Below are 17442 nucleotides of genomic sequence, written 5' to 3'. Positions count from 1 at the left end.
TTTTTTTTGGTGGACAGTCTAATTCAATAAGCTGTTTATTTTTCACAGTCCTTTGTGCCTTCTTGTGTCTCGAAGAATCATATGATATATGTTAGGTATGAGCGAAGACGTAATTTGCTTTTCTACTTTCTGTTTTGTGAAATAGCGGATTTTGGTTTTGCTCGTTACCTACATAGTAACATGATGGCTGCAACACTGTGTGGATCCCCGATGTACATGGTGAGTGAGTGTTTGCATCCTTGTGTGTTTAAAGCATGGCTCCATAATCATTGGAATTTAAATATAATGCGTGCTTCCAAATAAGATGTGATTTTACATATAGTCCAAGTTGTTATTACTAATGTTAATTATATTACTGATAATGCTATAATACAGACATCTTTTGCCTTAGCATAGTGGACTGTAAAAGTAAGTCATTTTTGCCCATTTGTTTTTATTTTTTAAAAAAGATTAGTTATGAGACAAATCTATTAAGTTGAAAATAAAAATTAATCAAGGGTAGTCATGCTGTACATAATGTATAATATAAGAGTGCTTTAAAAAACATCTTCTGGGAGCACTTCTTCAGCTGTAGGATGTGCTTATCTTTTGCATGTTAACTCTCGTGACAGGATCCCTGTGTTGTAGATGTTTTTTCCATTAGCCTCACACAGCTGAAATATCTCAGCTTTCCCCTTTATCCTCTCATATAGATATCATCATGTATTATAGGGTTAGGCTATGAAACTTCTAATGTAATGTGCAGTATTAAGTCTGGAAATACCTTAATTCTAGAGATTCAGAATTATGTAAAATAAATGTACCTATTTCAGTTCTAAATTTAAAATGGGTTTATATTAAATTCAAAATTTCTCTAAACTAAAATCAACTTTGAACTGGTAATCAAATTTCAAAAAAATTTTATTAGATTTATAGTCTTGATCATAATTTTACTGCTTATATATAATTTTATAATTTTATATAAATTTTAAAATTACTTTGTACTTCTTGAGTATAAAATTAGTTTAGCCTTGAGGTTAGAGTGCTTTGGCTGATTATTAAAGGATATTGACTTAATAAGAAATTTACTAGGGAAAATAAATAAAAATGTTATGCCTGAGCTGGGTGTAGTGATGGCGTGCCTTTAGTCCCAGCTACTTGGGAGGCTGAGGCAAGAGGACTTCTCAGGCGTTCATGGCCAGCCTGTGAACACAGCAAGATCCCATTTCCACAAAGAATTAAAGTTAAAAGGAAATGTTACATCTGAGAAATAAAACTATCTTTAAGTATATTTTCCATTTCTGTTTAATATTTGTCCTGATTAATGGTATATTTAAAATGCAACATTTGATGAGAGGTGGGAAAATACCCGTAACAAAGCAGCAGAGAAATGGTTTTGCTTTTAGGACAATTTTTAGTATTGTGTGGGGTTTTGCATCATAGTTTTTCTATTACTATAAAAGTATTCAGATTACAAAAAACATAGGGAATAATATAGCAAACACCTATGTACCCACCATCCGTATTTCACAAAGTTAACATTTTGCCATGTTTGTCTTGATCTTGTTTTTGAAAGAAATCAAATAGGCCAGGCGCAGGGGCTCATGCCTGTAATCCCAGCACTTTGGGAGGCTGAGGTGGGAGGATCACGAGGTCAGGAGTTCGAGACCAGCCTGGCCAACATGGTGAAACCTTGTCTCTACTAAAAATACAAAAAATTAGCTGGGCATGGTTGCAGGCGCGTGTAATCCTAGCTACTTGGGAGGCTGAGACAGGAGAATCACTTGAACCCAGGAGGTGGAGGTTGCAGTGAGCCGAGATCACGCCACTGCACTCCAGCCTGGGTGACACATTGAGACTCATTCTCAAAAAAAAAAAAAAAAGAAAAAATATTTTGGAGACAGCCCAAGTTCCTTTTGTACCTCTCCCTGATTGCATTTCCTCCTCTGCTCCTCTCACACACCTGAGGGAACCTCTGTCCTATGGTATGTATTTTATACACCATGTCCTATGGTGTGTATTTTTCTTTACTCTTTCGGCCCTCTTACTGTACTTTATGTGTCCATTATAATCAGGTGAAACATTTGTTTCTATAACTTGCCTCTTTTCATGCAACATTGATTTTGAGATTTACTAGTAAATCTCAATATATAATAATATGTTGTAAGTTCTTTGCCTTATTATTTGATTAGAGAACTATCACAGGGTGTTGTTTTATTCTGGTAGTTTGTTAGAAGTGTCACCTTTACCAGTTAATTAATATGTGCATATTAATTATGTAAATAACGTACGGCATGCCCCTTAAATTTTTCTGTTCCCAGGCTCCTGAGGTTATTATGTCTCAACATTATGATGCTAAGGCTGACTTGTGGAGCATAGGAACAGTGATATACCAATGCCTAGTTGGAAAACCACCTTTTCAGGTAGGCTGACTTTTTTCTTATGTCCTCAGTTTTGGGATCTTGTCATTTTATAGTTGCGTTTGATTTGTAAAATGAAGAATACTTTGAAAGCAGTGTTTTTGGCTCCTCTGTGAGTTACTTTGATTCTGTTATAGGCAAAAACTGCTTTAGTGAGTCAGAACGTCTTTTGGTTTTCCCCTTTTATCTGCCTGCCCTTTGTAGTTGGACTGGGCATGAAGTCTGTTGTATGTTGGGTTCGGGGCTAACAGCCTGGTGGGAAATGGGTGTGAATGGTGACACCAGAGCTTCCTAGTTAGCCTGGTTTTGGGATCCCGGAATCCACATGAGGGCTGGGGCTGGTCTGGGGAGATCTCTGGAAACCATCTCTAGCTCTCTATTTCTGACACTGCTAGGTGAGAGGGAGGTAATTATATACACTTTATGGAAATTATTATGGGTCTGTCTTCTCCTCCTCTCCCCCAACATCCTGCCAAAAAGTGACCCTGTAGAGTATAATCACGATGATTTCTCTTGAGTTCATATTGCCATGTTATAATTTCTTATGTTACAAAGAAGATCTTCGAATTTGAAAACTGAAACAAAGTGAAAATATTTGCCCGAGATAGTATTAAGAAAATTAGTGATGGCCAGGCGTGGTGGCTCACACCTGTAATCCCAGCACTTTGGGAGGCCGAGGCGGGCAGATCACCTGAGGTCGGGAGTTCGAGACCAGCCTGACCAACATGGAGAAACCCCATCTCTACTAAAAATACAAAATTAGCCGGGTGTGGTGGCACATGCCTGTAATCCCAGCTACTAGGGAGGCTGAGGCAGGAGAATCGCTTGAACCTGGGAGGCGAAGGTTGCGGTGAGCCGAGATCACACCATTGCACTCCAGCCTGGGCAACAAGAGCGAAACTCTGTCTCAAAAAAAAAAAAAAAAAAAAAAAAGAAAAAGAAAATTAGTGACACAGCCAGGTTAAACACTTTTAATTTCTTAGTCTAGTTTGCATGTAGAGGAGGCTTCACTAATTCAGCAGCTGTTGTTATCAGCTATTTGTTGTTGTGGAGAGACTGAATAGTAGCAGTATACATAGTTCTTTTCTTTGAATTCCTTTAGGGTCCTAAGGTAAAGTACACCTGAATTTTACCCAACAATAATGTACCTATTGGGCAGGCCGTGTAACCTTCAGAATAGTGGTCCTTAATCTATTCTAAGTTTCAGGCTCCTCTCAGAGTCTGACCTCAGAAAAGGTACTTCAGAAAAGGTACCTCAGAAAAGGTACGTTATACTCAGATGTACAGAATTTTCACACAATGTCATAGGTTTTATGAGTTCCTAATGACCAGTTATGGGTCCTTCAGCAATCCATGGCTTTCAAGTTGATAGTCTATGTTCTGTAGCAAGAATATGAGCATCATCTCTCTTTGCTTTCCTCCTCCCTCATACTTTCCCTCCTTTCCTGTCAGCAGTCCCTTCCTTGAAACTCCCACTCCCTCAATCCCTTAAAAAAAAAGCATATGAGTGTCAATCATATGATTTGAAAGTTTTGCCCCCATTGTTTAGGAAATTAAACCTTTTTTTTTTTAATAGGCCAATAGTCCTCAAGACTTAAGGATGTTTTATGAAAAAAACAGGAGCTTAATGCCTAGGTATGTGTTTAGATTACACTGGGTTTTACTATTTGTGAATACAGTGTTGTTTATTTGAACTGTTTGTGTTTTGTGTATTCTCATTTTTTAATTCTTTTTCAGTTGATAATGTGAAAGCATTTGTTACAACAAATTAGAAAATTGCTGGCACATCATAGGTGTCTGTGTAGTGCTGTACTCTTTTCTTTCTTTTTTAAAATGTAAATTTAAAAGAAAAAGATACGGAAGTTACATGTGTTCCTTGTGGGGAGGGTAATGTGGACAGAATAGAATAGATACGCATAAAGTAGGAAGTGAATTCCCCCCAGCTTTGCTCTCTTTAGGGGTAACAAGAGTTTGCTGTGTCTCTGTCTTCATAGTTTTTTGGGTGTTCTTTATACGTGTTTGAATGCTTGTTTTCCTTTTTTTTTCCTCTCGAACTTGTATCTTGAGATGAGTGCTTGTTTATGTATGTATTTATACACACACATAGTTTAAGACAAATTACATCATATTTTGTGAGTTGTTTGCAGCGTCCTTTTGTTTTTTACTTTGTAGCACATCACAGATGATGTTCCGCAGCAAGATGTAGAGAGGCACTGTATGCTTTTTTTTGTTTTTGAGACAGAGTCTTGCTCTGTCACCCAGGCTGGAGTGCAGTGGCATGATCTCGGCTCACTGCAGCCTCCCCCTCCCGAGTTCAAGTGATTCTCATGCTTCAGCCTTCCTAGTAGCTGGGACTGTAGGCACCCACCACCACGCCCCTCTAATTTTTGTATTTTTTTTTTTTTTTTTAGTGGACACGGAGTTTCACCATGTTGGCCAGGCTGGTCTTGAACTCCTGACCTCAAGTGATCCCCCCGCCTCATCCTCCCAAAGTGCTGGGATTACAGGCATGAGCCACCATATCTGGCCAACTGTATGCTTTTTTTTTTTTTTTTAAATGATTAATAGACTATTTAGGCAGGAGTACATATAGTCATCATTGACAGACTTAATATGAGAGGTTAAATGTTTGATCCAATTTTCCTTCCCGGATAAGTTTTTCTTTTCTATCCATGTCAGTTTTGAAAACACAATACCAGAAGAAGAGGGGCCCAAATGCACACAGAGCGCCCAAGAGTGAGTTTTTAGGAGTGGGTCTGAAATTAGGATAGACATTTGCTGATCTTGCATAGGTCCAACGAATCAAGGCAGGATCTTCGATGAGCCCTCTGCGGTTGGGGTTGTTGTACTGAAGCAGGTACTCTCATTTCAGCCCGGCTCTTATGGCCAACTGCTCAACTTGCGCCCGTCGGGTGTCCGGAGATATGTTGTATTCGGCTGGGTTGAGGGTCGGGGGCACAGTGGCCAGGCGTGATAGAGTATACTTTGGGAACGACATCTTGGTGACCCAGAGCTCAACTGCACCTGCCACTGTATGCTTTTAAATGCCACAGAGAGTCCCATAGATGTACATTATTTTATTTAATCAGATCCCTGTTTTCATTTTTTTGGTTACTGCAAACAGGCTCTAGTGAAGTGTGTGTGTGTGTGTGTGTGTGTATGTGTGTGTACTCCTTTGTGTATGTGTGCATTTTGTTAGGGTGGACTCCTAGAAATGGAATTGTCAGACCAAAAGATACACTCTCCAAATAGGCTGTCCCAGTGAATACAGCAAGATAGAAGACTGCTCCTTTTCCCTCATTTTTACCAACATGGAATGTTAGCAGATTTGATGCTGCACAAATGCATGAGGACCAGTTAGCTATTAATTTAATTTGCATTATTCTCTTTATTAGTGAATTTGGCTCCTTTGTATTTCTTTAATATCTTTTTCTTTTCTTTTCTTTCTTTTTTTTTTTTTTTTGAGACAGAGTCTTGTTCTGTTGCCAGGCTGGAGTGTAATGGCACGATCTTGGCTCACTGCAACATCCACCTCCCAGTTTCAAGCCATTCTCCTGCCTCAGCCTCTCAGGTAGCTAGGACTACAGGCAGGCTACCACACCGGCCAATTTTTGTATTTTTAGTGGAGACGGGATTTCACCATGTTGTTCAGGCTGGTCTTGAACTCCTGACCTCAAGTGATCCACCTGCCTTGGCCTCCCAAAGTGCTGGGATTACAGGTGTGAGACACCGTGCCCAGCCTGTTTAATATCTTTTTGTAATTCTTATTCTTTGAATTGTGTACTGCTATTAATTCATTTTCCTGTTGCTTGTTGTTTTCATATCGGATGTTAGGAAGTTGTATTAGTTCTCACTTGTATTTAAGTGCTGCCCTTTTCCAGACAGAAATGGAGGTGGCTACTTTGTAATAGAGAACATTATAACAACTATTAGTGCAAGATTGAAGCTATGCTAAAAGTCAACATTGGGCTTTTGAGGTGCCTTACTCCTGCAGATACTCAAAACAACAGCAAGCACAATACAGGAATCTTCTCAATTTGATGCTGTTTCTCAAAGGCAATTTAGTGCTTTTTTTCCTTCTTTTTTTTTTTTTCAGATGGAGTCTTGCTCTGTCGCCCAGCCTGGAGTGCAGTGGCATGATCTCGGCTCACTGCAAGCTCCACCTCCCGGGTTTATGCCATTCTCCTGCCTCAGCCTCCCAAGTAGCTGGGACTACAGGTGCCCGCCACCACGCCCAGCTAATTTTTTTTTTCTATTTTTAGTAGAGATGGGGTTTCACCGTGTTAGTCAGGATGGTCTCGATCTCCTGACCTCATGATCCACCTGTCTCGGCCTCCCAAAGTGCTGGGATTACAGGCGTGAACCACAGCACCCGGCTTTTTTCCCTTCTTTAGATGACTCTTACATGGTCTTCGTGGTATAAATGTATTGGTATTTGTGAAACCGCATACACGTTTTAGTTTACTATATGGAAGGCAAAAGTTAATGTTTATGTATATAAACTTATCACTTAGGTGGTTGTGTTTTTCCTTTCCCCCAGTATTCCCAGAGAAACATCACCTTATTTGGCTAATCTCCTTTTGGGTTTGCTTCAGAGAAACCAAAAAGATAGAATGGACTTTGGTAAGAAATAGTTTTAACTTTTGCATGTTTTCTAATTTTATTGTTATATATGCCGAAAGATTTAAAAACTAGAGATTTCAGAAAATTAAAGTCAGTTTCACTTTTCTTTTTGTTTATTTCCTTCACTGGTTTCGTAAATATTTATTGAGTGCTTATTACTATGTTCTAGGTACGAGAGATAGAGTAATAAAATCACTCTCCTCATGTAACATATATTCTAGTGGTAGAGACAATAAACAAATTAAAAACCATAATTATATATTATATTAGAAGTTGCTAAGTATTATGGGAATAAAGAAGTGGGGGTGGGGTGGGGGTGGGGATTGAAATTTTAAATAAGGTAGTCAGTGAAGACCTTACTGAGAAAGTGACATTTGAACAAAGACTTGACTTGAAATGAGAGTGAGCCATGTGGATATCTGTGGGAAGAGCTTTTTAAGCAGAGTGAACAGCCAATATAAATGATGAGGGCTGGGAGCATGCCTGTAAGCTTGAGGAACAACTAGAAGGCCAGTTGAAGACTTGGGCTTTTCCACAAAGTGTGATGGGAGCCATTTAGAGGGTTTTGAGTGGAAGAAAAGTGATGTGACTAATGTTTTTAAAAAGGATCAAGCTGGCTGCTGCTTGAGAATAGACTGTGTGCATGTAAGGGGAAGAGCAGAAGCTGGGAGACTAATCAGGAGACTCTTGTCGTTACCCAGGTGAGAGATGAGTGTAGCTTTGACTAGGGTAATAGTAGTGGAGGTGGTAAGAAATCTTTCTGGTGGTAGAGGCAACAGCATTCACTGATAGATTGAATGTGAGGGTGTGAGAGAGAAGACTCAAGGATGACTCCAAGGTTTTTGGCCTGAGCAGCTGAAAGGATGTTGTCGATTACAGTGATGGGAAAGACTATATGGATAGAGCAGGCTATGGGGACAAGATGAGGAGTTTCTGTTGGACATGTTAAATTTAAGATAACCATTGGATATCTAAGTGTCGATGTCAGAAGTGCACTTGAATTTCAGAAAAGTCTAGACTGGGGACAGATTGGGGAGTTGTCAGCCTGGATTTATTTATTTATTTATTTTTATATTTTTTGAGACAGGGTTTTACTCTGTCACCCAGGCTGGAGTGCAGTGGTACTATCATGGCTCACTGCAGCCTTGACTTTCCCAGGCTCAGGTGATCCTCCCACCTCAGCCTCCCCAGTACCTGGGACTACAGGTGTACAACACCACCTCTGGCTAGTTTTTGTATTTTTTTTGTAGAGACAGGGTTTCGTCATGTTGCCCAGGCTGATCTCAAACTCCTGGGCTCAAGCGATCTACCCACCTTGGCCTGCCAAAATGCTGAGATTACAGATGTGAGCCACAGTGCCAAGCAATATTTATTAAATAGATTCTTTTGTTTTTTTTTTTTCTTTTATTAGAGAAAAGGCCTCACTCTGTTACCCAGGCTGGACTGGAATGCAGTGGTGTGATCGTAGCTCACCGCAACCTTGAACTCCTGGGTGCAAGTGATTCTCCCACCTCAGCTTCCTTAGTAGCTGGGACTACAAGCCTGCACCACCACAGTTGGCTAATTTTTTGTTTTGTTTTATTTTGTTTTGTTTTTGAGACAGAGTCTCGCTCTGTCGCCCAGGCTGGAGTGCAGTGGCATGATCTTGGCCCACTGCAACTTCCGCCTCCTGGGTTCAGGCAATTCTCTGCCTCAGCCTCCCGAGTAGCTGGGATTACAGGCGCCCGCCACCATGCCCAGCTAATTTTTTATATTTTTAGTAGAGACAGGGTTTCACCATCTTGTCCAGGCTGGTCTTGAACTCCTGACCTTGTGATCCGCCCACCTCAGCCTCCCAAAGTGCTGGGATTACAGGCATGAGCCACCATGCCCAGCCTGTTTTGTTTTGTTTTTTCGAGACGAAGTTTTGCTCTTGTTGCCCAGCCTGGAGTGCAGTGGCATGATCTCGGCTCACTGCAACTTCCCAGGTTCAAGCTCCCAGGTTGCAGCCTCCCAGGTTCAAGCTATTCTCCTGCCTCAGCCTCCCAAGTAGCTGGGATTACAAGTGCCCATCACCATGCCCGGCTAATTTTTTTTGCTTGTTTGTGTTTTTGAGACGGAGTCTTGCTCTGTTGCCCAGGCTGGAGTGCAGTGGCGCGATCTCGGCTCACTGCAACCTCCGTCTCCCGGGTTCAAGCGATTCTCCTGCCTTAGCCTTCTGAGTAACTGGGATTACAGGCACATGCCACTATGCCCGGCTAATTTTTGTATTTTTAGTAGAGATGGGGTTTCACCATGTTGGTCAGGCTGATCTTGAACTCCTGACCTCATAATCCACCTGCCTCGGTCTCCCAAAGTGGTGGGATTACAAGCGTGAGCCACCATGCCCGGCCTAATTTTTGTTTTTTTTTTTTTTTAGTAGAGATGGGTTTTTGCCATGTTGGTCAGGCTTGTCTCAAACTCCTGGCCTCAGGTGATCCACCTGCCTTGGCCTCCCAAAGTGCTGAGATTACAGGTGTGAGCCACCGGGCGCGGCCCAGTCGGCTAATTTTTTTACCCTTTTGTAGGGATAGGGTCTCACAATGTTGCCAGGGCTGTTCTCGAATTCCTGGCTTCAAGAAATCTTCCTGCCTTAGCCTCCCAGAGTGCTGGGATTACAGGTATGAGCCATTGTTCCTAGTCAAAATAGATTATTTTCTAGTGTGCCATTTAAATTCTTTCATTGAGTGTTCTGGCTTTTTTGTACTATGTATTTTTTTTTTTAATGATTGCTCTAGGGATTACGGTATGCATCTTTTTTTTTTTGAGACGGAGTCTTGCTCTATCACCCAGGCTGGAGTGCAGTGGCGGGATCTCGGCTCACTGCAAGCTCTGCCTCCTGGGTTCATGCCATTCTCCTGCCTCAGCCTCCCGAGTAGCTGGGGCTACAGGTGCCTGCCACCACGCCTGGCTAATTTTTTTGTATTTTTAGTAGAGACGGGGTTTCACCGTGTTAGCCAGGATGGTTTCGATCTCCTGACCTCGTGATCCGCCCACCTCGGCCTCCCAAAGTGCTGGGATTACAGGCGTGAGCCACCGCGCCCGGCCTCTACAGTATGCATCTTAATTTATCACAGTCTACTTTATATAAAAACTAGTTGAGGCCGGGTGTGGTGGCTCATGCCTGTTAAGCCCAGCACTTTGGGAGGCTGAAGTGGGCAGATCACGAGGTCAGGAGACCAAGACCATCCTGTAGTCCCAGCTACTCGAGAGGCTGAGGCAGGAGAATGGTGTGAACCTGGGAGGCGGAGCTTGCAGTGAGCCAAGATCGCGCCACTACACTCCTCCAGCCTGGGTGACAGAGCGAGACTCCATCTCCAAAAAAAAAAGAAACAAAAACCAAAAAACCAGTTGAATTCCATTAAAATGTAGAAGCTTTGTTCCCTTAATATGGCTCCATTCGCTCTTCCCTTTGTGCTGTTGTCTTACATATTATGTCTATGTTGTAATCTCAGCAGTGGGGTGTTAGGACGATTGCTTTATACAGTCTTACCTCTTTTTAAGAAGTGAGGAGAAGAAAGGTGAAAAACATGTATAGCGTCTTTTTGTGTGTTTCTCTTTTTTTTTTTTTTCTGAGACAGAGTCTCACTCTGCACCCAGGCCTAAGTACGGTGGTAAAAACAAGCCTCACTGCAGCCTTGACCTCCTGGGCTCAAGTGATCCTCTTGCCTGAAACTTCTGTATAGTTGGGATTACAAGTGCACACCACCATGCCCAGCTAATTTTTAAATTTTTTGTAGAGAGGTTTTTGCCATGTTGCCCAGGCTGGTTGCCAACTCCTGGGTTCAAGCGCACATCCTGCCTCGGCCTCCCAGAGTGCTGGAATTATAGGTGTCAGCCATCATGCCCAGCCTTAGATTACTATTTTAGCCTATACATTTATCATTTCTGACACTCTTCATTTATTCTTACGGACTCAAGTTACTGTTTGGTGTCATTTTTTTTTTCTTTTTGTATTTTTTGTATCTCTTTTTTGTTTGGTGTCATTTTTTTAGTTCTAATATAATTCCATTCCTTTCCTCCTCTTTTGTGTTGTCATATATATTAATCTTTGTATGTTACAAAGCCCAATAGTACAATTTTATAATTATTTTATACAGTTGTCCTTTAAATCGGCTAAGAGAAAAATATATAATGTACTGTCTTCCATAATTATCTACATAATTACCAATGCTCTTTATACAAATTCTCAGAATCTTCATTTATCTGGGAATGTCATTATTTCCCTTTATTTCCCTTCACTTTGGAAAAGTGTTTTTTTTTTTGGTAGATACTGAATTCTTGGTTGTTAGGATTTTCTCCAGCCAGTACTTTGACTATGTCATCTTACTGCTTTCTGGCCTCCTCCATTGTTTCTGATGAGAAGTCACCTGTTAATCTTACTAGGTTTCCCTAGTAGGTGATGAGTCATTTTTCTCTTAGTGCTTTTGAGATTTTTCTCTGTCTTTGATTTTCAACAATTTTAACTGTGATGTGTCTAGATGTGTATCTCTGTGTTTATCCTGCCTGGAGTTTATTGATCTTTTTGGATATATAAATAAATGTTTTTCACCAAATTTGGGGAGTTGTCAACCATCATTTCTTAAAATATTCATTCTGTCCCTTTCTCTTTCTCTTCTCTGAGACTCCCATTGTGTGCACTTAATGGTCTATGCTTGATGATGTCGCACAGCTGAGTCTGTTCATTTTTCCATATTGTTTTTTCCTTTGAGTTTTTCAGATTGGAAATATCTGTTAATCTGTTCTCAGCCTTGCTGATTGTTTTATTCAGTTATTGTACTTTTTAACTCCAGATTTTCTGTTTGGTTCTTTTTTATAATTTCTGTCTTTTTCTTGATATTCTCTATTTGATGAGTCGCTGTCTCCTGCCTCAGCCTCCTGCATAGCTGGGACTACAGGCGCCCACCACCATGCCCAGCTAATTTTTTGTGTTTTTAATAGAGTCGGGGTTTCACCATGTGGGCCAGGCTGGTCTTGAACTCCTGGGCTCACGTGATCCACCCACCTCGGCCTCCTAAAGTGCTGGGATTACAAGCGTGAGCCACTGTGCCTGGCTGGCTTTCTCTACTTTTAAAAATGGGCGACAGAGCGAGACTCTGTCTCAAAAAAAAAAAATTTGTTTATAATAACTGCTTTAAAGTCTTTGTTAAGTTCAACATTTGGCCCCCTCACGACAGTTTCTATTGACTGCTTCGTTCCCCTGTGTATGGGCCATACTTCTTTGTTGCTTTGCATGCCTTGCGGTTTTTTGTCAAAAATCAAACATTTTGTTCAATACAGATAGCAACTTTAGATTTGAACCCTCCCCCTCTCCCAATTGGGGGTTGTTCTGTTTTTTTTTTTTTTTTTTTTTTTCCTTTGAGACAAAGTCTTACTGTGTCGCCCAGGCTGGAGTGCAATGGCATGATCTCAGCTCACTGCAAGCTCCGCCGCCCGAGTTCAAACAATTCTCCTGCCTCAGCCTCCCGAGTAGCTGGGATTACAGGTGCACACCACTACGCCTGGTGAATTTTTGTATTTTTAGTAGAGACAGGGTTTCACCACGTTGGCCAGGCTAGTCACGAACTCCTGACCTTAAGTGATCCACCTGCCTCGGCCTCCCAAAGTGCTAGGATTACAGGCATGAGCCACGATGCCTGGTCGGATTGTTCTATTTGTTTAGTAACTTGCGTGGACGAAATCTGCGGAATATTGTTTTCCTTGCAGTTTTTGAACATTGATTTATCTCCAAAATTGTTTTTGTATTTTTTTCAGTTAAAAAAATTGTAAAGCCCAGTTTCCTAGGGGTCACCCCTTTGTCTACAGTTTTTTAGTGGTCAGCCAGTTATTGGTCAAAGGTGGTGCTTTGAGATGGTAAGTTACCATCCTTTGTCCATAGATCTGTGTGTGGCTTGGGGAATGCACTAAAAGTTCAAGCACAGCTGGGCATGGTGGCTCACATCTGTAATCCCAGCGCTTTGGGAGGCCGAGATGGGCAGATCAGTTAAACTCAGGTGTTTGAGACCAGCCTGGGCAACGTGGTGAAAGCCTTCTACTAAAAATACAAAAATTAGCTGGTGTTGTGGTGTGGGCCTGTAGTCCCAGCCACTCAGGAGGCTGAGCTGGGAGGATTGCTTGAGCCCTGGAGGTCAAGGCTACAGTGAGCTGTGGTCATGCCACTGCACCCAGCCTGGGTGACAGAATGAGACCCTGTATAAAAAGAAAAAAAAAAAAAAAGAAAATGTTTCATTTATCTTGACTCCAATCTTTATTATTTCTTTCCTTCTACTAGTTTTGGGCTTAGTTTGCTGTTTTTCTAGTTCCATAAGCATGAAGTTAGCTTATTGATTAGATGTTTCTTTTTCTTTTTTTTTTTGAGATGGAGTTTTGCTCTGTCACCAACGCTGGAGTGCAGTGGCGTCATCTTGGCTCACTGCAACCTCCATCCAGCTCCTGGGTTCAGGCGATACTCCTGCTTCAGCCTCCAGAGTAGCTGGGACTACAGGCTCAAGTCACCACACCTGGCTATTTTGTATTTTTAGTAGAGACAGGGTTTCATCATGTTGGCCAGGCTGGTCTTAAACTCCTGATCTCAGGTGATCCACTTGCCTTGGCCTCCCAAAATACTGGGATTACAAGTGTGAGCCACCATGCCTGGCCTATTTCTTCTTTTTTTTGAGACAGAGTCTTGCTCTGTCGCCCAGGCTGGAGTGCAGTGGCACAGTCTTGACTCACTACAACCCCTGCCTCCTGGGCTAAAGCGATTCTTCTGCCTCAGCCTCCTGAGCAGCTGGGATTACAGGTGCCCACCACCACGCCCGGCTAATTTGTTTGTGTTTTTAGTAGAGACGGGGCTTCACCATGTTGGCCAGGCTGGTCTTGAACCCCCAACCTCAAGTAATCTGCCTGCCTTGGCCTCCCAAAGTGTTGGGATTATAGGCGTGGGGCACGGCACCTGGCCTTATTTCTTCTTTTTTAAAGGAGGTGTTTACAGGTATATTTTTCCCTCTTACTACTGCTTTTGCTACATCCCATAAGTTTTAGTATGTTGTGTTTTCATTTTCATTTGTCTCAAGATATTTTCTAATTTGCCTTTATGACTTCTTTGACTCATGGTTGCTTAAGAGTTGGTATCCTTTGGCTCTGTGTCCCACCCAGATCTCATCTTGAATGAGATGAGACGGGGAAGGGCTTGGTGGGAGGTGAGTGAATGGGGAGGGGCTTGGTGGGAGGTGAGTGAATCATGGGGGCGGATTTCCTCTATGCTGTTCTCGTGATAGTGAGTTCTCACAAGATCTGATGGTTTGAAAGTGTGGTACATCCCCTTCCTGCTCTGCAATGGTAAGACATGCTTGCTTCCCCTTCACCTTCTGCCATGATTGTAAGTTTTTTGAAACCTCCCCAGCCATGGAGAACTAAATTAAACCTCTTTTCTTCATAAAATGGCCAGTCTCAGGTAGTTTTTTTTTTTTTTTTAGCGACGGAGTCTTGCTCTGTCACCCAGGCTGGAGTGCAGTGGAGCAATCGTGGCTCACTGTAACCTCCACTTCCGGGGTTCAAGCGATTCTCCTGTCTCAGGCTCCTGAGTAGCGGGAATTACAGCTGCGTGCCACCACGCATGGCTAATTTTTGTATTTTTAGTAGAGATGGGGTTTCACCATGTTGGCCAGCTGGTCTTGAACTTCTGTTCTCAAGCGATCAGGCTGCCTGGGGCTCCCAAAGTGCTGGGATTATAGGCATGAGCCACTGCGCCCAGCCTCAAGTAGTTCTTTATAGTGTGCGAAAACAGAGTAACACAAGAGTGTTTTGTTTAATTTCCACATATTGTGGATTTTCCCGTTATTTCCTCTGTTACTGATTTCTAGTTTTTTTTTTTTTTTTTTTTAAACAATCTCAAAGGACAGGCATGAACCACTGCGCCCGGCCCTTGATTTCCACTTTTATTCCATTGTGATTGGAAAAGATAATCAGTCACCGTGATTACAATCTTTTAAAATTTATGGGCCAGGCATGGTGGCTCATATCTGTAACCTTAGTGCTTTGAGAGGCTGAGGAAGGAAGACTGCATGAGGCCAGGAGTTTGAGATTAGCCAGGGCAACATAGTGAGAACCTGTCTCTACAAAAAATATTAAAAATTAGCTGGGTGTAGTGGTATGCACCTTTAGTTCCAGCTTCTTGGGAGTCTGAGGTAAGAGGGATTACTTCAGCCCAGGAGTTTGATGCTGCAATGAGCTAATTGCACCACTGCATTCCAGCCTGAAAAAACAGAGCGCAACATTGTCTCTGATTAAAAAAAAAAATTATTAAGACTTGTTTTGTGGCCTAAGGTGTGGTCTGTTTTGGAGAATGTCCCATGTGTACTTGAGAAAAATATATGCTCTGCTCTCAGAGACTAGAGTACTCTGCGTGTGTCTGTTAGGTCCAGTTAGTTTATAGCACTGTTCAGTGCCTCCCTTTCCTTATTGATGCTGTATCTGGTTATCCTATCCATTACTGAAGGTGGGATATTGAAGTCTCCAACTATTATTGTACAAATCTCTTTCTCACTTCAGTTGTCAATGTTTGCTTCATGTATTTTGGGGCTCTGATTGTTTATAAATCTTAAATTTTCTTGGTTAATTGACCCTTCTATCATTATTTAATACCTTTTTTTTTTTTTTTTTTGAAATGGAGTCTCGCTCTGTCACCCAGGCTGGAGTGCAGTGGCGCGATCTCGGTTTACTGCAACAACCTCCGCCTCCTAGGTTCAAGCGATTCTCCTGCCTCAGCCTCCCAAGTAGCTGGGACTACAGGTGCCTGCCACCATGCCCAGCTAATTTTTATATTTTTAGTAGAGACAGGATTTCACCATGTTGGTCAGGCTGGTCTCAAACTCCTGACCTTGTGATCCACCCTCCTCAGCCTCCTAAAGTGCTGGGATTACAGGCGTGAGCTACCGTGCCCAGCCCCCCCCCTTTTTTTTTTCCTTGACAGGGTCTCATCCTGTCACCTAGTCTGGAGTGCGGTGGTGCAGTCTTGGCTCACTGAAACCTCTGCCTCCTGGGCTCAAGTGATCCTCTCACCTCTGCCCCTCAAGTAGCTGGGACTACAGGTGCAAAGCTACCACACCTGGCTAATTTTTGTATTTTTTGTGGAGACAGGGTTTCACCATTTTTTCCAGGCTGATCTAGAACTCTTGAACTCAAACGATCCACCCACCTTGGGCCTCCCAAGTGCTAGGATTACAGGCTTAAGCCAGTGTACTTGGCCTTATTTAACGTACTTTTTGTCTTTTATAACAGTTTTCAATTCAAATTCTATTTTGTCTGATAGTCAACTTTGCCCTTCTCTTTTGCTTAGTATTTGCCTGGGAATAGCTTTTTCCATTATTTTGCTTTCAAATATTTGTGTCTTTAGATTTAAAGCGAGTCTCTTTTTCTTTTTTCTTTTCTTTTTGAGATGGAGTCTTACACTTTCACCCAGGCTGGAGTGCAGTGGCACAATCTCAGCTCACTGCAACCTCTGTGTCCCGAGTTCAGGCGATCCTCTCACTTCAGCTGGGACCACAGATGTGCAGCACCATGCCTAGCTAATTTTTTTGTATTTTTGGTTTCACCATGTTGCCCAGGCTGGTCTTGAATTCCTGAGCTTAAGAGATCTGCCTGGGATTAGAGGCGTGAGCCACCTCACATGGCCTAAAGGGAGTCTCTGTTCTGTTTACAGATTATAGTTGGATTATTTCCTTTTAATCTACTTTGCCAGTCTCTGCCTAAGGAGATCTATTTACATTTAAAGTAATTACTGATGAGGAAAGATTTTCACCATTTTACTATTTTTATGTCTTACAGCTTTTTTGTCCCACATTTCTCCCATTACTGCTCTCTTTAGTGTTGTTTTTTATAGTAATGTGTTTTGATTCCTTTCTCATTTCCTTCTGTGTATATTTTTCCTTGTGGTTACCTGCGGATTACATATAACATCTAAAGTTACTGAATTCATATTAACTTTAGTTGCACACAAAAACTCTACTTCTGTATTGCTTTATACCCCCTTTATGTTGATATCACAAATTATATCTTTATGATAATTTTAATGCATTTGTCTTTTAAACTCTGTAGAAAGTGAAAAAGTGAAGTTACAAACCAAAATTACAGTACTATTGGATTTTAAATTGCCAGTGCATTTATCTTTTCCGGAGATCTTCATGTCTTCATGTGGCTTTTTACTGTCTAGCTCTTTTCATTTCAACCTGAAGTACTCTCTTTAGCATTTCTTATAGGGGAGGTCTTGTGGTAATGAATTCCCTCAGCTTTTGTTTTTCTGGGGATATCTTAATTTCTTCCTGAGTTTTGAAGGACAGTTTTGTGGAATGTAGAATTCTCAGTTAACTTTTTTTTCTTTCAGCACTTTAGATAATATCCCACTGCCTTCTGGCCTCAAGAT

General features: G+C 41.7%; 1 protein-coding gene and 1 pseudogene across 5 annotated transcripts in view; one reads left to right on the top strand and one right to left on the bottom strand.

Moving 5' to 3' along the window:
• ULK2 (unc-51 like autophagy activating kinase 2) overlaps positions 1-17442 on the top strand; it is a 97107-nt gene that overhangs the window by 22414 nt on the left and 57251 nt on the right. For all 5 annotated transcript variants that reach the window (XM_047437147.1, NM_001142610.2, NM_014683.4 and 2 more), the window contains exons 7-10: positions 146-219; positions 2301-2402; positions 3976-4034; positions 6940-7022. In XM_047437147.1, the coding sequence (XP_047293103.1) occupies positions 146-219; positions 2301-2402; positions 3976-4034; positions 6940-7022 (318 nt within the window). The remainder of the gene's footprint in view (positions 1-145; positions 220-2300; positions 2403-3975; positions 4035-6939; positions 7023-17442) is intronic.
• Positions 4956-5421, bottom strand: NDUFB4P3 (NADH:ubiquinone oxidoreductase subunit B4 pseudogene 3; annotated as a pseudogene).

The sequence above is a fragment of the Homo sapiens genome, chromosome 17 (genome assembly GCF_000001405.40).
Source record: "Homo sapiens chromosome 17, GRCh38.p14 Primary Assembly".
Taxonomy (NCBI): domain Eukaryota; kingdom Metazoa; phylum Chordata; class Mammalia; order Primates; family Hominidae; genus Homo; species Homo sapiens.
Note: the sequence above shows the minus strand (reverse complement) of the source record. Positions and strands in the feature narration are given on the sequence as shown.